The sequence below is a fragment of the Homo sapiens genome, chromosome 22 (genome assembly GCF_000001405.40).
Source record: "Homo sapiens chromosome 22, GRCh38.p14 Primary Assembly".
In the NCBI taxonomy this organism is placed as follows: Eukaryota; Metazoa; Chordata; class Mammalia; order Primates; family Hominidae; genus Homo; species Homo sapiens.
In genome coordinates this window covers 35,333,100-35,356,616 of record NC_000022.11, presented here as the reverse complement: position 1 = coordinate 35,356,616, position 23,517 = coordinate 35,333,100, and the positions used below count along the sequence as shown (strand labels likewise).

At 57.0% G+C, this 23,517-nt stretch overlaps 1 protein-coding gene and 2 non-coding genes across 14 annotated transcripts in view, besides 10 other annotated features; 1 reads left to right on the top strand and 2 right to left on the bottom strand.

The window, feature by feature from the left end:
- Positions 3,440-3,499: an enhancer, noted in NCBI's record as "active region_18902". NCBI's record gives its function as "activates an Ori minimal core promoter by ATAC-STARR-seq in GM12878 lymphoblastoid cells {active_cell/tissue: GM12878}" and the evidence as "EXISTENCE:reporter gene assay evidence [ECO:0000049][PMID:35858748]".
- Positions 3,440-4,318: a biological region, named in NCBI's record as "H3K4me1 hESC enhancer GRCh37_chr22:35748292-35749167".
- Positions 3,443-4,318: an enhancer, noted in NCBI's record as "H3K4me1 hESC enhancer chr22:35748292-35749167 (GRCh37/hg19 assembly coordinates)". NCBI's record gives its function as "activates a minimal SCP1, AML or CMV promoter by ChIP-STARR-seq in naive H9 embryonic stem cells {active_cell/tissue: H9 hESC(naive)}" and the evidence as "EXISTENCE:reporter gene assay evidence [ECO:0000049][PMID:30033119]".
- Positions 4,000-4,139: an enhancer, noted in NCBI's record as "active region_18901". NCBI's record gives its function as "activates an Ori minimal core promoter by ATAC-STARR-seq in GM12878 lymphoblastoid cells {active_cell/tissue: GM12878}" and the evidence as "EXISTENCE:reporter gene assay evidence [ECO:0000049][PMID:35858748]".
- Positions 5,136-5,644: an enhancer, noted in NCBI's record as "H3K4me1 hESC enhancer chr22:35746966-35747474 (GRCh37/hg19 assembly coordinates)". NCBI's record gives its function as "activates a minimal SCP1, AML or CMV promoter by ChIP-STARR-seq in naive H9 embryonic stem cells {active_cell/tissue: H9 hESC(naive)}" and the evidence as "EXISTENCE:reporter gene assay evidence [ECO:0000049][PMID:30033119]".
- Positions 5,450-5,569: an enhancer, noted in NCBI's record as "active region_18900". NCBI's record gives its function as "activates an Ori minimal core promoter by ATAC-STARR-seq in GM12878 lymphoblastoid cells {active_cell/tissue: GM12878}" and the evidence as "EXISTENCE:reporter gene assay evidence [ECO:0000049][PMID:35858748]".
- Positions 5,670-5,789: a silencer, noted in NCBI's record as "silent region_13654". NCBI's record gives its function as "represses an Ori minimal core promoter by ATAC-STARR-seq in GM12878 lymphoblastoid cells {active_cell/tissue: GM12878}" and the evidence as "EXISTENCE:reporter gene assay evidence [ECO:0000049][PMID:35858748]".
- Positions 6,235-6,767: an enhancer, noted in NCBI's record as "H3K4me1 hESC enhancer chr22:35745843-35746375 (GRCh37/hg19 assembly coordinates)". NCBI's record gives its function as "activates a minimal SCP1, AML or CMV promoter by ChIP-STARR-seq in naive H9 embryonic stem cells {active_cell/tissue: H9 hESC(naive)}" and the evidence as "EXISTENCE:reporter gene assay evidence [ECO:0000049][PMID:30033119]".
- Positions 6,768-7,300: an enhancer, noted in NCBI's record as "H3K4me1 hESC enhancer chr22:35745310-35745842 (GRCh37/hg19 assembly coordinates)". NCBI's record gives its function as "activates a minimal SCP1, AML or CMV promoter by ChIP-STARR-seq in naive H9 embryonic stem cells {active_cell/tissue: H9 hESC(naive)}" and the evidence as "EXISTENCE:reporter gene assay evidence [ECO:0000049][PMID:30033119]".
- Positions 8,644-23,517, bottom strand: part of TOM1 (target of myb1 membrane trafficking protein) — a 48,699-nt gene continuing 33,825 nt past the window's right edge. For 7 of the 12 annotated variants that reach the window (NR_024194.2, NR_024195.2, NR_156428.2 and 4 more), the window contains 6 exons: positions 23,120-23,213; positions 22,169-22,289; positions 17,829-17,904; positions 10,833-10,892; positions 9,648-9,687; positions 8,644-9,562 (listed from right to left, as the gene is read on the bottom strand). Coding sequence is in view for 9 of the 12 variants with exons in the window: in NM_005488.3 (NP_005479.1) it covers positions 9,408-9,562; positions 9,648-9,687; positions 10,833-10,892; positions 17,829-17,904; positions 22,169-22,289; positions 23,120-23,213 (546 nt within the window). In the remaining 3 variants the exon portion in view is untranslated. Of the gene's footprint in view, positions 9,563-9,644; positions 9,688-10,832; positions 10,893-17,828; positions 17,905-22,168; positions 22,290-23,119; positions 23,214-23,517 lie in introns of all 12 variants that reach the window. The other 5 variants (NM_001135729.2, NM_001135732.2, XM_047441068.1 and 2 more) reach the window with 1 other exon arrangement.
- Positions 18,893-19,802: an enhancer, noted in NCBI's record as "H3K4me1 hESC enhancer chr22:35732808-35733717 (GRCh37/hg19 assembly coordinates)". NCBI's record gives its function as "activates a minimal SCP1, AML or CMV promoter by ChIP-STARR-seq in naive H9 embryonic stem cells {active_cell/tissue: H9 hESC(naive)}" and the evidence as "EXISTENCE:reporter gene assay evidence [ECO:0000049][PMID:30033119]".
- On the top strand, positions 19,818-19,896 carry MIR6069 (microRNA 6069). Its single transcript, NR_106717.1, has one exon. It is a non-coding gene; the product is annotated as a microRNA 6069 (primary transcript).
- MIR3909 (microRNA 3909) lies at positions 20,859-20,977 on the bottom strand. The gene has a single exon (NR_037471.1). It is a non-coding gene; the product is annotated as a microRNA 3909 (primary transcript).

The following is a 23,517-nucleotide window of genomic DNA, read 5'->3' as shown; positions in this document are numbered from 1 at the left end:
TCTGCTCTGAACTGTGCTGACTCAGACATGAAACTTGCTCCTTCCCCAGTTCCCCAAAACCCTACTCTTTTTTTATTTTTTTTGAGACGGAGTCTCACTCTGTCGCCCAGGCTGGGGTGCAATGGCGCCATCTCTGCTCACTGCAACTCCACCTCCCGGGTTTGGGCAATTCTCTTGTCTCAGCCTCCCAAGTAGCTGGGATTACATGCGCCCGCCTCCACGTCTGGCTAATTTTTTGTATTTTTAGTAGAGATGAGGTTTCACCATGTTGGCCAGGCTAGTCTCGAACTCCTGACCTCAGGTGATCCATCCGTCTCTGCCGCCCAAAGTGCTGGGATTACAGGGGTGAGTCACCATGCCTGGCCCAAAACCCTACTCTTGACAAATACTTATGAGCAGAGCATTTACTAAAGATCTCAGGGCCACAGAGAGGGGTGACATTAGACAGAACCTAGAGAACAATCTAATACAGCATCTGTTCTTCCGAATCTTTTTTGGCTACTCCTCTCCCTTCCCTCCCTCTACCCCAGTAGTTGACCTCTGATCCTCCCCCAACTCTTTGCCTGGGGCCCAGTAGCTCACCCTCTCCTGCCTTCTCTCTCTTCCCTTTCCCCGTTCTTGTCTCTGTGCTCTCAGGCCCTCTTCCAGATGGCCCGGTAGGATTCACCTCCCTCTTAAGAGCAGAGCAGTCCAGCTGTCTCCAGCTCCCTCCCCAAGCTTGCAGATCCAAAGTCCCTGTGCACAAACATGGACATGAGAGAGCTTCCTTTTCTCCAACCATTGTCTTCAACCATGCCCAGCCTCCACCAGGGTCCTTTGTGACATCTTGGGTGGTTTTGCTAACTTTCTTGTCATTTTCAAGTACAAAAAAGTCCAATCTTGGCGCAGTGGCTCACACATGTAATCCCAGCACTTTGGGAGGCCGAGGTGGGTGGATTGCTTGAGCTCAGGAGTTTCAGACCAGCCTGGCCAACATGATGAAACCCTATCTCTGCTACAAACACAAAAATTAGCCAGACATAGTGGCACACGCCTGTAATCCCAGCTACTTGGGTGGCTGAGGCAGGAGAATCACTTGAACCCAGGAGGCAGAGGCTGCAGTGAGCCGAAATAGCGCCACTACACTCCAGCGTGGGTGACAGAATGAGATCCCATCTCAAAAAAAAAAAAAAAAGTCCAGTCTTGAAGTTTAATCTCACATCGAATTTGATATCCCCTCCTCCCTCCCCTTAGCACTTCAGGAGGGTATGGCCAGCTCCTTCACTCTCCCTTCCTTGCCTCTGTCTCCTGGGTCCCTGTGTTGCAGAGTTGAGGTGAGGGGATGGGAGGGCAGAGCCATGTTTACGTGGGGACGGTGCAGAAGCCAGGGTGGCCGTCGATGGAGATGCCCAATGCGTGTGAAGGCCAAGGCTGGCAGGAGCCGTGGGGGAGCCCCTGGCCAGCAGTGAGCATGGCTATCTTCAGCTCCTGCCCTTTTGGGTTGGGGTTCTGCTCCAAACAGTGGGTGGGCCCAGAGGGGCTGGGCAAACAGAGGCTGTGCTGTTAGTTCCCTCAGATGAGGCTGCCCAGGCAACTGGAGCACTTTTGGATGGAACGAGATACTGCATTGGTGTATTAAAAGTCTGATTACTGCCGGGCGCAGTGCCTCGCACCTGTAATCCCAGCACTTTGGGAGGTCGAGGTGGGTGGATCACTTGAGGTCAGGAGCTCGAGACCAGCCTAGCCAACATGGTGAGACCCCATCTCTACTAAAAATACAAAAATTAGCCAGGCGTGGTGGCATGTGTCTGTAATCCCAGCTACTTGGGAGGCTGAGGCAGGAGAATCACTTGAACCCGGGAGGCGGAGGTTGCAGTAAGCCGATATTGCGCCACTGCACTCCAGCCTGGGGGACACAGCGGGACTCTGTCTCAAAAAAAAAAAAAAAAAAAAGTCTTGATTACTGATGCCCAAAAGGGAAAAATATTAACAACTCAATGCATTGTGGAATGTTTTGTGGCCAAAAATCAAAACAAACAAAACTCTTCTAAATCCATAGTCTTGGGGAGAGACCATGATAGAAGATTTCCTTGGGGAGAGAAGGTTTTAGAACCCACTGGCCTAGTTGGTCTCTGAGGCTGAAAGTTCTGTGGGAGCCCAGAGCACGGTGCAGGGTGCTGGGGAGGGCCTTCTGAAGACAGACTTCCCAGCTGTCCTCCATTCGCCCACCTCCTGCGGGGCAGGTGCTATGGAGGACCGGGATTCTAGTTTCAGTTCTTTTACAAATTTGCTGTGTGGCCTTGGGCAAGTCTCTGCACTGGTCTGGGCCTGAGAAGGGATCCTGAGGGAGGGCCCCATCTCAGCAGCCAGCCTTCTCCCTGCAGGGGTCCAGTGGCCTCTGCAGCCTAAGTGGCTTGCAGGGCTCAGGGCTACTCATACAGATAATGTACACAGTGACTTTTCTAGCCCCAAGGCAGACCTAGGCGCAGCCCCAGGCCCAGAATAGAGTGCACTTCATCCTGATCCCCCAGGGACCTTTTCTCCCCAGAAAAGAGGACTCAATGTTTCCACTTGCCGGCTGTGTGGCTTTGGATTAGCTAGTTGACTTTTCTGACCTCACCCCCTCCTTTGTAAAATGAAGATTCTTTTTTTTTTTTTTAATTTGTATATTTTTTGAGATGGAGTCTCACTCTTGTTGCCCAGGCTGGAGTACAGTGGCGCGATTTCGGCTCACTGCAGCCTCCGCCTCCCGGGTTCAAGCGATTCTTCTGCCTCAGCCTCCCTGGTAGCTGGGATTACAGACACCCACAACCACGCCTGGCTAATTTTTGCATTTTTAGTAGAGACAGGGTTTCGCCATGTTAGCCAGGCTGGTCTTGAACTCCTGACCTCGGGTGATCCACCCACCTCGGCCTCCCAAAGTGCTGCGATTACAGGCGTGAGCCACTGCGCCTGGCTGAAGATTCATTTTTAACAGAGCTTCCAAGGGCTCCAGTGAGGGCAGGGTCCTGTGGGGAGCATGGGCAGCACCCCCATTCCTCAGTTCACCCACTTGCTTTTCCCTTTCCTAGGGGTACCCCAGGGCAGGTGCAAGGATGTCCCCGGCTTGGGTTTCGCTTCCCTCCTGCCCCTAGGCGGTCAGCTTCCTGTGCGGGCATTCAGCAGGGTGTGTGGGTGGCCGCCTCCACCCATTGGTCCCACTGAAGCTTGGGCAGTTGTTTCCCTATCGCCGCTGGTCCTGGAGGGGAGATAAACCCGGGGTCCTGCTTCCCTCTCTTGTAGATATTTGAGTTTCTTTCCTCGTATTTCTTTCCTTTTTGGAAGGAGGATTATGGAATTTGGGGGTTGATAGGGCAGAAAAGCAGAGTGCAAAGGGGCCTTACGCTCTCTTAAATCAAGCCGATTAACAGATGGGGAAACTGAGGCCCAGAGAGAGGAGAAGGCTTGCTCCAAATCAAACAGGAAGTCAGTGTCTGTGCACCGCTGGAAGCTCGGTTGGCTGACTCCTGGGCCGTGCTTGGACCTGACACAGGGGGCCCCAGGAGTCCCCACCCTCCACCCTGCACTGACTTCCCTGTGCTTGTGCGTGGGTGGGGGCTGCTTCCTCCCCGGGCAGGCTGGGCTGGCACACAGAGCCTCCTGGGCCCCTGCACCAGGTAGGGAGGCAGTACACTGGTCAGGGCAGGCCCCTCCCCTCCCTGGGCCTCCACTTCCCTGTCTGCACATTTCTCACCCGCCTCAAGAGGTCCAAGTGCCCTGCCAACCTGACTCTGACCCACTGGGGATTTGGGGCCCTGGTCAGCTTGGGTTCCTTCCCTCTGCTGGCCAGCCTGGTCCACGGTGCACAGAGGGTGCAGGGCCAGCCTGCAGCAGGGGCAGGAAGACGTCACGGGAGTCCTGAGTCAGAGGCAAGGGGTGAGGATTCGGCCCGGCGAAGCTGCTTCCTCCAGTCTCGCCCTGTACCAGGGTGGGTGGAAGTGAAACCTGCCAGCTTACCCGCTTGGGTCTGCTCTGAAAAAACAAGCGGACATGGGGACCAGGAGAGCAGCCCCAGCCCAGCTCCCAGCACCTGTATCTCCCTCCACTCTGCCGGCACCCCTGCTCGCTCCTGGTCCCATGGCTAATCCTTGGATCTAAGGCTAGGCTGCCCTAGGATGAATCTAGCCACCCTCAAACTCCCACTAGGGCAGGGGGCAGGGGGCAGGGAGTGGAGGCGGGTGTTTCATGTGGCAGCCCCTCTGAAGACACTGTGGCCACCTGCGAAAGAGCAGTGTGTCTGGGAGAATGGACCCAGGGCCTAGAGGGCAGCAGAGGGCAATACAGGGCTGCTTCGTCCCTTTGAATTCATACGTTGAATCTCTAATCCCTAGTATATCAGAATGCGATTGTATTTGGAGGTAGGACCTTTAAAGAAGTGCCAGGCACTGTGGCTCACACCTGTAATCCCAGCACTTTGGGAGGCCGAGGCGGGTGAATCACACGAGGTTGGGAGTTCGAGACCAGCCTGGCCAACATGGAGAAAACCCGTCTCTACTAAAAATACAAAATTAGCCAGGTGTGATGGCGCATGCCTGTAATCTCAGCTACTCAGGAGGCTGAGGCAGGATAATTGCTTGAACTGGGAGGCGGAGGTTGCAGTAAGCCGAGATCGCGCCATTGCACTCCAGCCTGGGCAACAAGAGTGAAACTCTGTCTCAAAAAAAAAAAAAAAAAAAGTGATTAAGGTACAATAGGTACAATAGATCATTAGGTGGACTCTAATCCTTGATGAATGCTGTCCTTATAAAAATGGGACTTTTGAACATAGAGAGATGCAGAGGGGATATGATGTGAGGCCCCAGGGAGAAGATGACCATATACAGCCACGGAGGGGCCGGAAGGAACCAACTGAACAGATGGAGTCCACGTCCTTGATGTTGAACTTCAGCCTCTAGAACTGTGAGAAAGAAGATTTCTGTGTCTAGGGGCCTGTCTGTGGGGCAGGGTGGTGGCGGTCCACGCGGAGAGGGTGGGAGGCACTGGCAGGACGGGGCAGTGGTGGCAACAGAGATTGGTTTCTGCGGGGATGGGGGGAGAGAAGGAATGAAGGACGGCGGGAAGCAGGTTTCTCACTGCTGGAGAAGGGAATTAGACATAGGGGAAGGGCGGAAAAGAGAAGGAATCTGTGGTAGAGCTGGAGTTACTGGGCGAGCTCATGATTTGTCTACACGTGGAGACAGAAACGGCAATGCACACGGATCTGAGCGTGTCGGCTGAGAAGGCGCGGGAGCAGGGGGCCCCAGCAACGGCACACCGGGGCTCTGTAAAGAGAGGGAGGGGACCGGGCTCACTTTTGCCCACCCAAAGCTCCCGTAGCTGAGCTCCCAGCTTGTCTCACCAAATCCTCCCCACAACCCTGTGAATCGGGACGTTTAAGAAGATCTGAGGCTTCCAGAGATGAAATCCCTTGTGTAGTCCCACAGCAGAGCCCGGCGGTGAAGCCAGACCCTCGGACTCCAGCTCCCAGCCCCATCACCATTGTTACTCAGCCCCACCAGTCAGAGGGCGTGTGCGCGTGTGTGTGTGCACGCGCGCGCCTGTGAGCTCGCGCGGGGCAGGAGCGGGCAGGAGCCGGCAGCACCCGCCCCTTTCTCCCGGTGTCTGTACCCGGGAGGGGCTGATTTGGCCGCGGTGGACTCCACCCTAGTGCCCCGGCAAGCCCTGTACATGCAGTGCTACTGCCATCTCGTGGTCGCCTTGAAACACTGACCCTGAGCAGGGGCCGTAGACCGTGCTCAGGACTCAGAACTGGGCCTACCTCCAGCCACCTTGGAGCGGGCAAAGGCTTCCTAAAGCGCCTACCGAGAGCCCGCAGAGCCCAATCCAGGAACGCCAGGGGGACCCTGCCGTGTTGCCAGGATCAAGACAGCCCTGACCCTCTTAGGGTTAGCAGCCCAGACCAGGAGGAAAGACAGACACAGTCCTTTGGTTCTCTCCCAGTGGGGAGTAGGGACAGACGTTATTCTGGAGCTGGGAAGGCAATACCAGAGGCAGAGCAGGGGTCCCTAGAATTACTGAGGAGTCTGAGGGGCAGGGCTCTGAGCCAGGTGTCTGGAGCAGAGGCCATTCTGGAAGGGAGCAGGGAACCATCCGTGACAATAACAACATGTACAGAGCATTGTCTACATGGCAGGTGCTGAGTTACTTGTTGGCTCAGTCAACCCTAACAACCCTATGAGGCAACGAGTGTTATCTGCCCATTTTACCAGTGAGAAAACAGAAGCACAGAAAGGTTAAGTAATTTGCCTAAGGTCACACAGCCCAGAAGTGGCCGGTCTGGGAGGTGGGTACTGACACTAGGGCAGGAGGTGGAGGGGTCGGTGTCCAGGCCCAGGGTGGGATCGTGGTGGCCCAGGGGAGCCAGGAGGGAGAGGGCTTGGTGGAGGCTCTGCAAAAGGCTTCCTCAAAGGCAGGCCTGGGGCTGCCCCCCAGGCGCCCTTTCCCCTGCCCACCAGCCCCTCCCAGCTCCACTCAACCCCTCCCCTCCATGCCCCCGGCCCAGCGCCTTCCGATGTAGCTGGGCCCAGCGGGAGCGGCGGCACCTCGTTAATCCTGCCCTGTGGTGCCAGGTGGAGGCCCTGCTCCTACCCAAGGCTCCCACCAGACAGCTGGCCCTCATTTTCTTGGGGCCAAGACTTCCTGCAGCTGTAAAGTGATCCCGCCCAGGCCTGCAGCCTCAGACAGAGCCTGCTGCCAGGGAACCCAGCCTGACTGCACTGATGAATTCCCGCCAGCGCCCCCCCCCCCAGCCCCCATGCAGCCCCAGCAGCCTTCTCTCTGAAGGAGGCCTTCAGGCAGCCTGGAACTGTTCCAGCCAGCCAAGCCGAGACCTCTGCAGGGGCCACCTCCTGCCTGGCATTCAAGGCCCTTCATGGCCCAGCCCACCCCATCTTACCTCAGCAGCCTTAGGCCGTCCTCACAGAGAGCCTCCTGGCCCTGGGCGTCCCGTCCCATCTTCTTCTTTTCACAGCGTGAAACAATGATTGAGTTTATGTCTGTCTTTCTCGTCCCTTTCCCTCCCACGTGACCCCACAGGGCTGGCACCTGGCCGCTTCACTTCTGTCTGGCGGGCACCTAGCGCTATGCTGTGTGCAGCTGGCTCCCAGGGGATGCACCCACAGGGAGGAATGAACAACCTGGCAGTTTTCACCCTTAGCACCTGAGGCCCTCCCAGCCCTGGGGGCCTTCTGTGGAAGTTTCCTTGGGTTTCCCAGCTAACACAGGGGAGAGGAGGCCTTGGCTTTGATCCTTGTAAAATCACAACTCCCCTCTAAGAGGTCCCCAGTTAAGTAGGGAGAGAATGAGGGAAGCAGGCAGTGGGGTGTGGGTGGGGCAGGCAGGTGAGGCAGCAGTGAGGAAGGTTGGGGGTCCCAGTCTTCCATTACTTAGTGTATGACCAGGCAAGTCCCTTCCTCCCTCAGCCTCAGTTTCCCCATTTGTAACTGGTGGCCAACACCATTGACCCCCTGGGGCTGTTGTGAGGTACTGAAAGGGCTGGGCCAGGGTAGGGCACCTGGCAGGAGCTCACAGATGCCCTGGATGTGGCAGAGGGAGCTTGGCCTGGACCATGAGCATCCTGATGGCGGCAGGGCCTCCCCCTCCCCTGCCTGGCACCAGTGTGCCTGCCCCCAGCTGCTTTCCTTGCCCCAACTCCATCTTGAGGGCTGGGCTGGGCCTGGTCTCCTGTATGCCCAGCTCCAGACCATACCTCAGATGGCAGGTGCTGCCTGCCCACTGCCCATGGGAATCAGTGGCTGCTCACACAGACCTCGGCCCTCTCCCAGGAGCCCAGGACCCTGTGGACCCAATTGCTTTGGCCTCACACCGTTCCCCGACCGTGTCCTGGGCCAGGAGGCTCCAACATGCCTCAGCAGTGACTCCCAGGGAGTCTGGCCTAGAGATCCCACACCTGAAAAGGTGGCACCCTAAGACCTGGGGCTCTTGAGCTGCCATGGAGGGAAGAGCTGACCCCCTGCACCTGACCTGGGGCCCAGCGTCTGGAACTGTGTGCCATGTCTTCCCAACTTAGCTTTGGTGCCTGGAAAATGGGGAGGATGCGCTTCTGCATGAGGAAATGCTGGCACATGACAACTGCATGAGCTTCCTCCTCTGAGCTGGGCGGCTCATGGAGTCCTAGTCTCCGCATCTATACATCGAGGACGCTCACTTTGCTTCTCCCAGGCTGTTGTGATGCTACGAGCCAGTGCGTAGCCCCAGGCTGTGCCTGGCACCCAGCCTCGGAAGGCCAGCATCCTCCTGTGGCCTGTGCACCCCACATGCGCACACAGTCCACACAGGTCCCCGCCCTTGTGATTAGTGTGCTCTGTGCAGGGCAGGAGCTGGCCTCATGGAACAGCAGCACGAAGGTGCCTTGAGGAGGGAGGGGTGTCAGCTGGGGAGGGCATGCATCCTCCGGGCAGGGGCGGTGGCTGGAGCCTGCCATGTGAGGTGGGAGGAGGCGGCACCTGCGTAGTGTAGCTGGGTGTTTGCTCCTGTCCTTCCGCCTGCACCATCTACAGATGCTCACCTCTCGGATGGCCCCCAGCCCTGCCCAAAGTAGTCGCTGCCTCTGTGAGGCCAAGAAGTCATTTCTGACCAGGAGACTTGACAATGCTGCTAGCAGGGTGGTTTTCTACCTTTAATTGGGGATACAAAAGGCACCTCTCCCAGTACAAGAGGATCAACCAAGAGGTGAGCCCCAGTGCTGTGGTGCCCGGCCAGAAGGAACAGAGGAAGGATGGAGGGCAAGGCAGCGGAGGGGCAGTGGGGCCCCAGCATCCCCTGAAGCCTCACCTGCAGCCTGGGGCTGATGAGATCTCGCCCACTGCGCGCAGAGTTGCAGCTTCGTACCTGGGCCGCCGCAGCTCCTCAGGGGGCCTCCACACCTCCACACCCTACCCTCAGTGGCCAGCCAAAGCCATGGGGCCCCATGCAGCAGAGCAGGGAAGGGACAAGAGGCTCGGCAGAATTTCCACTGTGGCCAGCCTCCAGCCAGGCCTCGACTGGCAGTGTGGGCTCTGAAGGGCTCCTTGGGGCATGGGCCCGGAGCAGGGTATCACTCAGTGAAGGAGAGTCACACTGGGTCAAGCAGCCAGCCAGCCAGCCAGCCTGTCCTGGGGCCTCCACTTCTCAGCAAAGTCTCATGGTCAGCTGGGGTGGGAAAGGAGGCAGAGCAGCCAGATCCCACTGCAGCGCAGACCTGTCCCCCAGTTCATCCCACTGCCTCCACACCCCCAGCCACAGCTGGGGCAGCTCCGTCTTCAAAGAGGAGGAAAAGGGGGTAACAAGCCACCCCCAAAGCAGCCTTAACACCAGAGGAGGGAGGGAGGTCCCAGCCTAAGGGTGTGAGAGCAGTGGGGACCTGGGCTGCAGGGTGCCAGACCCCACACTCATAAGGCAAACAGCATGTCATCATCTTTCTCCTGGGTCTTCTTCCGGGGCGCTGGGCCAGATGGGGGACCCGGGGGCCCCTCAGCTGAGGGGCTGGAGAGGTTGGGCAATCGGTCCGCGGCTTTGGCCCGTTCTTCCAGGAATTTGTCAAATTCTAGAGGAAGGGGAGAGGGTGAGGGTAGGCCCTGAGGCCAGAGCCCTGGGGAAAGGAGAGGGCGGGCAGGGGCGGGGACTACTACCTTCGCTGGTGACCCCCTTAGGCTCTTCCGCATCATTACCCTGGGAAGGTAGAAGGAAAGGAGGCAGAGGTTAGCCGGGCCCCCAGTACGGTCAGCCTGGGGCAGTGGTGCTGCAGCTCGGGCCCCGCTGAACCTCAGCACTGGGTCCCAGCTCAGGCTCTGCACGCCCCCACCACCCAGGTCCCAGGACCTGGACCTGGGCTCCTCCCTGAGCCGTAGGACCTTCCTTGGGTGGCACCTGACTTCCTGAGCCTTGTGTTTTCCTTCTGTAAAATGGGGGCGGGGTGGGGGCTGAAGCTAACTTGGAGGGTTGCTGGGAAGCTGAAATGGGATAACACACAGCACGCCAAGCCCAGCACCTGGTGCCCAGTGGGACCTTGATGAGTGCTGGTTCCTTTCCTTGGAGGGTCACAAGGGGTGGGTGGTCCTCACCCCTGGGGGGGAAAGGCTGACATCCAGAGGCTGAGGGCCATTCATGCTAACACTGCAAACTAGGGAGGGGGTGAGGCTTCTGCCACCAGACAGAAAGCCTGAGTCCTTGGTCTGTGGCTTAGTCCTGGGCAGAAATGGTCTCTTCACCTGCAGAAGGCGGCTTCTGGGCCTGAAGTGCCCATGTGGGCCTTGGTGCCCAGAGACGGGGTGGCAGATGCTGCGGTAGGAGCCCTGGACGGAGAAGCTGAGTCTGGCCCTGCCCCTTCTGCTCCCTGGGAGGGTGGCAGGGCTTGGGGTCCCCATGACTGGCACCCGCCCTCCTCCTCCTGGGTGCTTCCCCTTAGAGGACAGCTGCTTATCGGTCTTCTGATCTGTAAACAGGGTGGTGATGGGTTCCCTCTGCAAGTGGCTGGAGTCTTCTGAGCTACTGCAGGTAAGAGCCTGGCGCTGTTATGCTTCCTCGGTTAGCCTCTCTAGCCTGGCCTGATGTCCCTAAGGTGGGCTGACACCCACTGGGACCTCACCTTGGGAGCAGGCTCTGGGAAGCAGCCGAGAGGCTACTGTGCCCAGGACTTCTCTGGGGGGCGTGCCAAACACAAGGTGGGCAGGTGGCAGGAGATGGGGACTTTAAGTGTGCCCCTCTGCTCTCAGGGTGCTATATGCTATATAAGTCTACCCTGGCCCCATGGGTCATTTCTTGGTGAGAACAACGGGTCCTCCTGCTGTGTGGGTGAGGAGTGGGCCCCAACATACCACGTCAGTGGACAGCCACTGCTCGATGTCCTCCATGAGGCAGGCCTGGGTGACTGGGATCTGGAAGGAAGGGCAGAGGGTAAGGCAGTGCCCTAGGTGACAAGGTGGAAGACGTGCCAGCTCAGCACCCTGCAGCTGGGTGGCCCTGGGCAGCCTCCCACCCCAGCCTCAGCTGCCTAGCTGCCCGGACCCACCACTGGGCCCGCTGTGCCAGGCTGTGGGTGATGGAGGTGCAGAGCCAGGAGACTAAGCAGGGGACCAGGCTCCCAGCAGCTGGAGCAGGGCCAGGGGTCAGAGGGAGCTCCTTCCCCTTGAAGAGAAGAACCCCAGTTCCGACACACCCTTCGGGTAGGATTCTAGGCTGGAGGAGGGGCTTTGGGCAATGGCCTGGGGCAGGGGCTATGCTGCAGGTGCTCAGGAGCATCTGACAAAAGACACGCCAAGCCCAGGGTCAGACCCCAGGCATTTTCTCCAGCCGTGAAGGCTGGGATGGGGACATGGTTAGTGGGCCAGGGGTCCCCAGGTTCCATCCCCTGGTGTCTCTGCAGACGCAGATTTCATGATAGAAGGGGGCATAGCAGGGCCTGAGAGCAGAGGCGCGAAGTTAACCAGACAAGGCCAGGTGGGTAGACCCAGAGGGGCGGTGCTACAGATGGGGACATTTCACTTTCGGCCACAAAGACATGGGCTGTGCCACGATGGCTCCCACACAGGGGCAGGAGTTGGAGGCTTTCCTCTCTAACGGCTTCTGCAGGGGCAGACTCCAGTTGGAGGTCATGGGCACAGACTTCAGAGTGAGAAAGAGCTGGACCTAGCTCACCCCTTAACACAGTGTGACTCTGAGTGGGTTACTTAACTTCTCTGCGCCTGATTTCCCTCGTCCTTAGGGTGAGGCTAGCAGCAGTACTTACCGTCCAGGTGGCTGTGAGGATGAAATGGGATGTCAAAAGCTTAGCACAGGGCCTGGCATGGAGGAGATGCTCAAGAAACCAATAGGCCAGTTCCTATTTACTATTAATCAGTAATGGCACTAATAGCACTAGTTACTAGTGAGCTACTTTGGAAAAGACAGACAGAGTCTTTCCCCAACCAGGCCAGTTTGGTTTCCAAGCTCTGTCACCCAGCACCTGAGGACCCCCCAGGCAGGAGCAGAGCCCAGAGAGAAGGCAGGAGCCGACTTCCCAGCAGCAGTGGCAACAGCAAGTGCCCAGCTGTGCACACCGGCTCCGTCTCCCGCTCCGCTATCCCCATCGCCTCTTAGCTGCCAGACGGGCTACCTTGTCCTTGCCCGAGACTCAAGAGCAGGAACCGGGCACAGAGGAGCTGCGGAAGCTGGGCTGGCCGGGCCAACCCGGAAACAGCCTGAGCCCTGGGGTCCCGCAAGACCCTCAGCTGCCCCTCCTTGCTCCTCTGGGCCTTCTCCTGGGTCCCACTCCCTTGGAGAGCAGCACGGTGCCCCACGCCCATGCCTGGCAGGAGCCCTGCGAGCACCCCCAGCTTTCCGGGTGGCCGGGCCTGGCCCCTGCTCACCATGCCTTGTCTCACCATCCAGTCACTGAGGCTTTTCCCGCAGCCGCCTCCCATCTGGGTGAGAGAGAGTCACGCTGATGGCGGAGGGACGGCAGCGCCAGGGCCACTGGAGGGCGCGGCTTCTAACAGGGGTGCGCCTTTCGGGTCAGGAGGCCTGCTGCCACTTTGGGAGGCGTGTGTGTGTAGGGGTGTGTGTAGGTGTGTAAGGGTGTGTATGTAGGTGTATGAGTGTAGGTGTGTGTGTAGGTGTATGAGTGTAGGTTTGTATGTGTAGGTGTAGGTTGTGTAGGTATAGATGTATGTGGTGTGTGTAGGTGGTGTGTGTAGATGTGTGTGGTGTGTGTAGGGGTGTGTGTGCAGGTGTGTAGGTGTATGAGTGTGTAGGGGTGGTATATGCAGGGGTGTGTATGTAGGTGTATGAATGTAGGTGTGTATGTGTAGGTGTAGGTGTGGGTAGGTGTAGGTGTGTGGTGTGTGTAGGTGTGTATGTGTAGGTGTAGGGGTGTGTGTGTAGGTGTGGTGGGTGTAGATGTGTGTGTGGTGTGTGTGTAGGTGTATGAGTGTGTAGGTGTGGTGTGTGTAAGGGTGTGTGTAGGTGTATGAGTATAGGTGTGGTGTGTGTAGGTGTGGGTGTAGATGTGTGTGTGGTGTGTGTAGGGGTGTGTGTAGGTGTATGAGTGTAGGTGTGGTGTGTGTAGGTGTGTGTGGTGGGTGTAGATGTGTGTGTGGTGTGTGTAGGTGTATGAGTGTGTAGGTGTGATGTGTGTAGGGGTGTGTGTAGGTGTATGAATGTGTGTGTGTAGGTGTGTGTGGTGGGTGTAGATATGTGTGTGTGGTGTGTGTAGGGCTGTGTGTGTAGGTTTATGAGTGGAGGTGTGTGTGGAGGTGTGTGGTGGGTGTAGATGTGTGTGGTGTGTGTGTGGGGGTGTGTAGGTGTATGGGTGTGTAGGTGTGGTGTGTAGGGCTGTGTGTGTAGGTGTATGAGTGGAGGTGTGTGGAGGTGTGTGTGGTGGGTGTAGATGTGTGTGTGGTGTGTGTAGGGGTGTGTGTGTAGGCGTATGAGTGGAGGTGTGGTGTGTGTAGGTGTGGTGTGTGGAGGTGTGTGTGGTGGGTGTAGATGTGTGTGTGTGGTGTGTGTGGGTGTGTGTGGTGTATGGGTGTGTAGGTGTGGTGTGTGTAGGGCTGTGTGTAGGTGTATGAGTGGAGGTGTGGTGTGTGGAGGTGTGTGTGGTGGGTGTAGATGTGTGTGTGGTGTGGGGGTGTGTAGGTGTATGAGTGTGTAGGTGTGGTGTGTGTAGGGGTGTGTGTAGGTGTATGAGTGGAGGTATGACGTGTGGAGGTGTGTGTGGTGGGTGTAGATGTGTGTGTGGTGTGTGTAGGGGTGTGTGTAGGTGCATGAGTGTGTAGGTGTGGTGTGTGTGTAGGGGTGTCTGTGTAGGTGTATGAGTGTAGGTGTGTGTGGAGGTGTGTGTGGTGGGTGTAGATGTGTGTGTGGTGTGTGTGTAGGTCTATGGGTGGAGGTGTGGTGTGTGGAGGTGTGTGTGGTGGATGTGGCGGCTGGTGTAGAGGGATGAGGCAGGTATTGTGGTACCCACCGGGGGGTGAGCCACAACAGCTCTGGGATGCCAGCGCCCTGGGTAGGCTGAGGCAGAGCTGACAGCAAACTAAACAAAGCTTCTCAACTCTCTCCACAAGGATCCCAGAGGCTGGGCCTCAGCAACCCCAGGATAGCAGGGCAGGCGGCTGTCAGATGGTCTGGGGGCTCCCAGTAGGGTCTGACAGGCACCCAGGTTTTAGAAACATCAGTTTATCCAACCTTCTCACATTCATCCATGGCACACATGCAGTTTCCTAGGGCCCCAGAGTGGAGGGAGACGAGAGTCCTGCTCCCAGCCCGTCACCCTGTGCCTGGCTGGTTCACCCTACTCAGACCAGCATGGGGCCTGGCACATGGCACAGGGCACACAGCAGGCATGTCAGGGAGTGAAGGAACTAAAACCTGGCACACAGCATGCAATACCACCTCGTCACACGACTTGTGAGTCCTGCTCTGAATCCCAGGGCGCAAACCTGGGCTGCGCACAATTGGCACTTGATTCTGTTTCTTTTTTTTTGAGATACAGTCTTACTATGTTGCCCAGGCTGGAGTGCAGTGGTACAGTCATAGCTCACGATAACCTCAAACTCCTGGGTTTAAGTGATCCTCCCGCTTCAGCCTCCCAAGTAGCTGGCACTACAGGTACCTGCCACCGCGCCTGGTTTTGATGCTGTTTTGTACTCTGCTCTTGGGAATCATGTTCTCACGGTTTAGTGGGTGAAGGCCTTACCACCAGCCAAACTCCAGCACCCCAGGAGCAGGCATTTGCTCACAGAGTTTTAAGAAATCATACCCTGATTTGGCAGAAGTGGCTTAAATCTCCCAGGTTATCGGAGATAAATCAGTGATAACCGGTTTATCAGCTTCTCTTTGCTGCCAGTGGAGTTGTGTGGTGCGTTTCCTCCCTGTGGGCGGGCTGCAAGGTAGTGTGGGAGCCAGGACACCTGGGCTCTAGTTTTAGTCACGCCTGAATTGCTGTGTGCCCCTAGGGAAGTGAACCCTGTCTCTGGGCTGCAGCAGGAGCAGATTGGCTGGGATTGCTGCCCACTGGGTGGTGGAGTCAACCTCTGACCACGAGAGGCCAGGTGGCCTGAGAGGGGAGCTCCTACAGCAGGCTCGCGGTGTGTTGGTTCCGATGAATCCCGACACACTGGAAGCCTGAGGCTGAGGAGGGAGACACACACCTCCACTCACTCTCCTTTGCACCTTAGGGCTTTTCACAGCTCTAAGGTTACCAGCATGGCTTAGAAGCCAGGCAGAACAATACCTACGAGACCCTAGGCAGGGTATCTCCCTGTCCTCAGCCTCAGTTTTCTCATCTGTAAATGGGATGAGGACATGGCGGTACTGCGAAGCGTAAGTGCCGTAATACCGTAGTGTGTGCCAGGCACCATACCGAGGACAGTACACCTGTGGTTTCACTTAAGCTCTTCCTGGAACTCAGTTTTCTCATCTGTAAAACGGGATAATAACATACCCTAAGGGTTTCTGTGATGACTCACTAAGAGAGGGGATGCAAAGTGCTTAGTGCAGGCCTGGCCCGGAGCACAGGCTCAGCAAATGATGGCTTACACCCGAAAAAGGACTGGAGTCTCTGACTGGTGTGTGCGGTGGATGTGACACGGGTGTGCAATGTGCTGTGCTTGGTGGCAGGTCACACACCACACATGGGAGGTACTGGATTCTCTTGTTGCCCACTGGGTGGTAGAGTCAACCTCTGTCCACGAGAGGCCCAGATGGCCCACCCCAGCGTCCTCCACCTTGCCCTGTTCTGACTTGGGAATGGCTCCTGAGATGCTGGGAGACCCAGGAGCGGAGAGAGTGCCCTTGGGGGTCACGAAGACTTTGCCCACAGTGGACTGGCCTGGACGGTTTCCACAACTCGTCCCTCCCTGCTTTCCTTCTTTTCTTGAGACAGGGTCTTACTCCATTGCCCAGGCTGGAGTGTCGTAGTGCAATCTCAGCTCACCACAACCTCCACCTCCTGTGCTCAAGCGATCCTCCCACCTCAGCCTCCTGAGTAGCTGGGACTAAAGGTGTGCGCCACCATGCCCGGATAATTTTTAAATATTTTGTAGAGATGGGGTTTCCCCATGTTGCCCAGGTTGGTCTTGAACTCCTGACCTCAAGTGATCTGCCCACCTCGGCCTCCTAAAGTGCTGGGATTCCAGGTGTGAGCCACTGTGCCCGGCCCTCCCTGCTTTCCTAGCTCCATCCTGATCTTTCAGATTGGAAGTCAAGTCCCTCCTGTGCTCAAGACTTCCCCGCGGCCTCCACCTCACTTAGGATGCAATCTGCAGCGCTCCTAGCCGCGCTGAGGTCCTCTGGTCCCTGCTATATACCCATAGAGCTTCACTTCCTACCCCCAACCCCATGCTAGCCTCAGAAGTCCCCATGCTGCCTTGAGCCTCCTCTAGCCTCCTCGGCCCCAGGTCCACCACCCTCACTCCCCCGGACTCCCTGGACTCCCAGGTCCGGCTGTTTCTAACTGTCTCCCATGGGACCTGCTCTGTCTGCTCACTTGCTGGAGCAGAAATTCTCACACTGCCTGAAAAGCATCCAGATACACGTTGACATGCATGAGAGAATGGTGCTTGGAGGTCTTGCCAAAGCGTGTGGGGGTCACCCACAAAATGTGCTCGGTGCTGGACAAGTGGCTGTCACTCAACACACAGTCAAGGAACTAAACGGAATTCAAAGAGCACCCTCGCATTTCTCCCCGCTGCTTTAGGGTCCGCTCTTTTTTTTTTTTTTGAGACGGAGTCTCGCTCTGTCGCCCAGGTTGGAGTGCAGTGGCGGGATCTCGGCTCACTGCAAGCTCCGCCTCCTGGGTTCACGCCATTCTCCTGCCTCAGCCTCCCAAGTAGCTGGGACTACAGGCGCCCGCCACCACGCCCGGCTAATTTTTTGTATTTTTAGTAGAGACGGGGTTTCACCGTTTTAGCCGGGATGGTCTCGATCTCCTGACCTCGTGATCCGCCCGCCTCGGCCTCCCAAAGTGCTGGGATTACAGGCGTGAGCCACTGCGCCTGGCCAGGGTCCGCTCTTTTATTCCTCTCTGCCCACACTCCTGCAGATTAAAAGTCTCTAGAGAGGCAGAGAGGAATACTATTGAACGGGCTCTAACTCCATGTAAAGCTCCCTAAATATATCCTCTCACACTTCTATTATAAACAAGTATAGGTGCTAGGATAAGCCCCAATGTACAGATAAAGAGACTGAGGGTCAGAAAGGCCAGTCATTTGCTTAAGGACACATAGCTGGTAACTGGTAGAGCTGGAATGTGAAGCCCGGGCCACTGGTCTCCAGTTTCTTTCTTTTTTTTTTGAGATGGAGTCTTGCTCTGTCACCTAGGCTGGAGTGCAGTAGCACAATCTCTGCTCCCTGCAACTTCCACCATCTGGGTTCAAGCGATTCTCCTGCTTTAGCCTCCCGAGTAGCTGGGATTACAGGCATGTGCCACCACGCCCAGCTAATTTTTGTATTTTTAGTAGATACGGGGTTTCACCATGTTGGCCAGGCTGGTCTTGAACTCCTGACCTCAGGTGATCCACCCGCCTCAGCCTCCCGAAGTGCTGGGATTACAGGTGTGAGCCACCACGCCCGGCCTGGTCTCCAGTTTCAAGTCAGGCTCAGGTCTGAATCCTTGCTTGTGGGCTTGGGCAAATGGCCTGGCCTCTCTAGCAGTTTCCATAGCTATAAACTGGGAATAACCACACTAGCCAAAAAGAACCGACCTGACGGCCAAACGAGGAAGGGCCTGTGGACGTGCTGGGCCAGTGCTTGGCCCACAACGGCACCCAGTGGGTGAGCATTCCCTCACCTCCTTCAGGAGGGCCCCAGGGTGGCAGGATGGCCCCTCTGCTTACCGCGCCAGTGCTCTGCTGCCGGGCGTCCAGGGCTCCAGCCAGGCCGTCTGTTGCTTGGGGGGCTTCGTATTTTACCCTGAAAGAGAGACCACCAAGCCATTGGATGCTGCCCTTACCGATGGCTGATGCAAGAACGGAGCGGGCTGGGGGGCACAGATTGACGGCTCCCATCCTCCAGGCCTGCCTGGAAATGGTAAAAAGGGTCTCATTTCCTGCCTCTGGAAATTAGGATCTGACAAGTGACCTACATGACAGACAGCAGCAAAGGCTGGAGAGGTTAGGGAGGGTGTTGCTGGCCAAAGACTGAGACCAAGACCACCAATGGCTATGACCAGGATTGGCCAAACTCAGGAGACTGATAAATAGCTCCAGTGCCCGTAGGCTCATGGAGAATTCCCAGCAGACCCTTTCTTGAGCAGATCTTGTTTCCTATTTTATAGACTGTGGTTGTGTATGAGGTCGTATTTGAATGGGGGATTCCATTCTGCTGCTGAAAACACATCTATAAACTGCTGGGTGAGGTGCCATCTTGTCTTGCACTGGCTCACCAGCACAAAGATGACTCTGCCCCCACCTTGTCTCAGCAGCATGGGAGGTGGCTTGGTTACAGCTCTTCTAAATGTCCTCTGGGGGGTGCCAGCCAGCTAGGCAGGGTGGGGAGGCAGGAACTGGGAGGGCACGCAAGGCTGATGGGCTGGGAGCGGCAGAGGCTGACCCCACAGTTGCTGGGCAGATGAGGAGAGGCAAGGAAGGGTATGTTGTGTGTGAGGTTAAGTCTCCTGGGGAGCAAGAGAATAACCTGAGTGAGAGGAGAAGCTGGCTAAGGAGGAGAGGCGGCTATGGTGTCTTTCCCAGCTGCCGCAGTGGGGGTGCCCAGGGCAGGTGTTGGGGACCCAGCCCTGTTGCAGGGAAAGAGCCCTGTTATTCTCGCCCTGAACTGCCGGCAGACAGGACTTCAGCACTGGCTCAGTGCAGCTTTGAGGCAAAGAAGTAAGCCACAGAATTCTGGTCACAAAGGGAAAGGCCTGCGATTCCTGTTAGGAACAAGGCCACCTGACACGCTAGTGAAGCGGGGCTGGTCTAACTGTAGGCTTCAGGAACTGGGACTGCATCACATTTAACTCTTGCAATACCAGCTTGCTTTCTGAGGAATGGAGTAGGCTGGCACTGAAAGGGGCTTCTTGAATATGACCCCCAGTTCCCACGCAGTCATTTTGAAGAGTGCTGCTGTCTGTTCCTTCCCACCAGGGGCAGAGTTTGCTGGTGGAGTGTGACCACTAGCTGGGGCATTCCCTGGTTACACGGCTCCCATCCATGGCAAGTGGGCCAGTGACTACGGCAGGGCCCTGCTGGAGCCAACCTTAAAGCCAGTGGCGGGGGAGGTGGGGCGTCAGGTTGCTGACTTCTGACCCAGAGAAGGCCTGCTAATTGAGGGTCTGGAGGTGCTTGTTGCTGTCTCTAAGACATGCTTGGCGCATTGTGGGCAAGGCTGAAGAAGCCATGCCCAGCCCCAGAACACGCAGAAACCCATGATTTCCCTTCACTCAAAACAACTATCTGGGCCAGGTGCAGTGGCTGAAATCCCAGCACTTTGGGAGGCCAAGGCGCGCGGATCACGAGGTCAGGAGATCGAGACCATGCTGGCTAACATGGTGAAACCCCGTCTCTACTAAAAATACAAAAAATTAGCCAGGTGTGGTGGTGGGCGCCTGTAGTCCCCAGCTACTCGGGAGGCTGAGGCAGGAGAATGGCGTGAACCCAGGAGGTGGAGCTTGCACTCTGCAAGCGCCACTGCACTCCAGCCTGAGAGACAGAGCGAGACTCCGGCTCAAAAAAAAAAAAAAAAGAACTATCTGCCCTTCCTAAGCTTAGCTCCTCGCCACCCCTGCCCACACATGGCCCTGAAGCCCAGCTGTCCCTGAAGGCCATGCCTGTGGTGGTGGAGGGCCAAGCACTTCCCTGGAGGAAGCCCGCACCTCCTGCACTGGGTGGTGACCCCTGGGCTAGGGCCTGCTGCCCCCTGCCCAGTGCAGGAGGGTGGAGGGTCACTCCTTAGGTGGTCCCAGTGGGGCTGGTGGGCAGGGGCTGCACCTGGGCCACTGGGGTGACACTTGTCTAAGTGCTCCTTGTAGAGAAGGCCTCTGTGTACAGCAGCACTGACGAAGATGCGGACAAAGCGGGGGAAGGACACCCCTGCCTTTGTGAAGGCCTAGCCGAGGCGTCTCTGCTGTGGCTCGCCCAGAAGCCCTGCTACTCCTTGGCATTGAGTGGATAGGACTGGCTGCAGGAAGGCTGTGACGGTGCCAGCTGTGGTCAAGGCTGGAGCAGAAACAGCGGCTGATAAGGAGCTGGTTTCCCTGCCAGCCAGGGCAGAGCTGGTTGCAGGCTGGTGTGAAGTGGGGAGCCAGGCAGGTACAGGGAGGAGCGGGCTGGACACCAAGCTGGCAGAAAAGGCCAGTCAGGTGACCAGAGCTGGAAGATCCACCAGAAGCATTTAAGGGGGCCAGCCAGGCAGGAGAACAAAGGGAAGACGAAATGGATGCTCAGGTCCACGCCTGACCTTGCTGGATGTTTTCTGCCAGGGTGGAAACCAAGCCCTGGGGAGGGCCTGCAGGAGAACCAATGGCCTGAGAAGGTGCATGATGTCATTTCAGCTGTGCTCAGCTGAAGGCAGTTTCAAAGATGAAAATCTGATAAGAAAAAAGATCCTTCCTGTGCTCCCTCCTGCTCATGTTAGAATAAAATCAACTGCCTCTCTGTAGCCCAGTGGGCCCCACCACCCTCTCAGCATCCTGCCCCCTTCCCTGTGTGAAGAGCATCTTTCCCAGCTGCTGTGCGGGAGCCAGGGCACCTCTCTCCCGCCCTGCCTCTGAGACTTTGCACATGCTGTTCCTAGTGCCTGAAATGGCCTTCCTATCACCCAGCACCTGGTCCAGCTCTGAGTACCCTCCGCAGAGTTGCATGCTCCCTCCTCTGTGTCCACAGAGCCTGGTGCCCCCTCCAGGACAGCACTTAGCCCTTCACAGCGGTGGTCCTGGTGCATGTCACTCTCCCATGAGACTGCAGGCCCTAGAGGACAAGTTCCTTGTGTGCTTTTCCCTGTCCCCCGGAGCCTGCTCCCCAGAGGAAGGACAGCGCAACAGCATACCTCAGCCAGGCTGGTGACCAGGGCAGGCGCCAGGGTTCTCCAGTATGGCCAGCAGTGTTGCCTGCTGGGGCCTCTGTGGATGGGCGTGTCTGGCTGCAAGTCCCATCACACTCATTAGCTTGCCTTTGCAGGGTAGCCTCGGCAGCACCCCTAACTCCATGGCAACAGCTGCTGGTCCCAGGGTACCTGGGCTTAAAAGTACAGACTCTGCCCAGACTAAAGAAAGATACAGCTAACAGCCAGGGCAGCCCTAAGGACCTAGCAGGCTACAGCCTGGACCTGGATTTGTGGGTGTGGAGAGGTTATCCCTGGGCTCTCTGGAGGCCCATTGACAAAGTTCCAAAAGACACCAGAATGACCTCTAAGGAGCTGAGTGGGGTCAGTGGGAAGATCCCATAATCTAGAACTTTCCTTAGCTATAAGAATCCTGGCTGCCCACAGCTCAGCCCTGGGGGTCACAGTGGGCAAAAGGCTGAAGAAAACATCAAGCAGACTGTTCCTCTTACAAGCCTGTACGGGGCCAGTTCTCCCGCAGGTCCCGGCAAGGGGTCAGACCCTGGTGGACACACTCAGGCCACGTGCCTATGCTGCTGAAAGTACCCCCTGAAAATGCACGGTGCACAGGGAAGGGCAGAGCCCCAGCTCTGGGGCAAGGCTGACAGAACCTGCTTAATCTTCTCTGGAAATTAACGGTGGCTATGGAACAACAGAAAAAGACTTGACTTGAAAGTCCCTGAGGATTTATCAGGAAACTTCCCTGCTCCTGGAGGGCTTACTATGCGGTACACAGTGCAGGGAGGGGGGCGGGGGGTGGAGACACTGTGTTTTGGAACCAGACAGCCCTAGGCTCCTAACCTAGTGCTGCCAAATATTAGCTCCTTGACCTGGGGCAAATGAGCCTGCCCCTCTCTGTGCCTCAGTTTCCCCCTCTGATCAGACTATGTAAGATTCTGGCATACAGTGGGTCATTAGGCTCCCCCTCCCCCACCCAGCATGGCCTGTGGGGAGCGCAGTCTGTCAACTGACCACAGGGCTCCCAGGCCATGCTGGACTGACTTAGGGGATACTAAGGGCGTGCTTACTAAGCAGGGTCCGTGTGCCCTTCCTCATGGTGTGCCACCATAAAACCGGGTTCCAGAACCCCGAGAGCCACCCGAACTGCAGGGGACCAGGGCAGGGCCAGGCCACTCACTCTTTCCGTTGGTCAGCCAGTGAGCTGCCCCGTGTCAGCGCAAACATGTCAAACTCATCTTCCAGTCGACCAGAGGCCTCCAGAGACTGCAGGCCAGCTCTCACACTGCTGGAGCCCAGGTCTGCAGGGACAGAAAGGCCACGTGAAAGACCCATCCACAAGCTTGTGTGTGAGCTGCTGCTGAGCTACCTGCTGCCAGACCCAGGGCTTGGTGCTGGGGAAGTGGCACGTGTGGGTGGGGGAATGCGCGAGGCAGGCCACCTGCTGCTGGCTGTGGGGCCTTGGGCAAGCGGCTTCCTCTTCCCAGCTTTAGTTTACTCACCCCTCTTGGGGCTGCTGTGAGCGTTAGAGAACAGTCAAAACGCTATCCATTGATTCTGCTGGGGAAGTGGCTGGGCAGGAGGACAGTAATCAGATGGGTAGTCGATTTTTTCAAAAAGTATAGCATTAGTGATGCAAAATGGGGTGCTAATGATTTCCTAGGGCTTGGCATGAAGCAGACAGTAAATTATATTAAAACCTATCACAGTGATAACAGTGACAATGGCCAACTACTCAGCCAGAGTGCAACCTGGGCCTGGCATGGTCTAAGCGCTTCTCATACACGAGCTCCCTACTCCTGTTAAAGAGGAGGAAAGAGAGGCTCAGGAGGTTTAAGGAACTTGCCCAAGCTCACGCAGATGATTGAAGCCATGGAGAATTCAGTGTAGAGGGCCAATCCTAGGATGGTAGGATTTCTGAGATCCAAGGCGGCTCAGGACTTGTGGGGCTGCCAGGGGCAGTGACCCCGAGTGCCCCACCTTGCAGCAAGATTCAGCCTGGGACCCCAGCAAGGTGGGGTCCAGACTGACACTCTGCTGTGGGTATATAACAAGGGCACCCCGAAAATCTGCAGGGGTGCCCACAGTACCATAATGTACCCTCAGCTGGAGCCCTCCAAACCACACTTACTCATTCCTGCCAGCTGGGATGAGAGGTTGCCGGTGGCTGCTGGGTCAGGGCCCATGTCGATCAGGTCAGCTGCCGGCTCGGCCTCACTTGGGGCCTGGTGGGAAGGGAGATGCCCTGATCATCCCCGCTGTCTGCAGCTTCGTTCCTTTCTGCCCCAAGCACTGTGGCTTGCAGGCTTTGCCCAGGGATCTGTCACCAGGGCCCCAGGAGCTAGGACTGGGCATCAGGGAATTTCCTTCCTCCCCTCTGGCTCCAGCTCAACTGGACTCCCTGGGAGGTTGGGGAGACCCTGGGGCATCAGGTGGTGGCACAGCCTTATTTACCTTAAAGGGACAGGGACATAAAAAGTTAGAAGGGGATTTCTCTATGGGCCTGGATAAGACAGCACCACCCTGTCC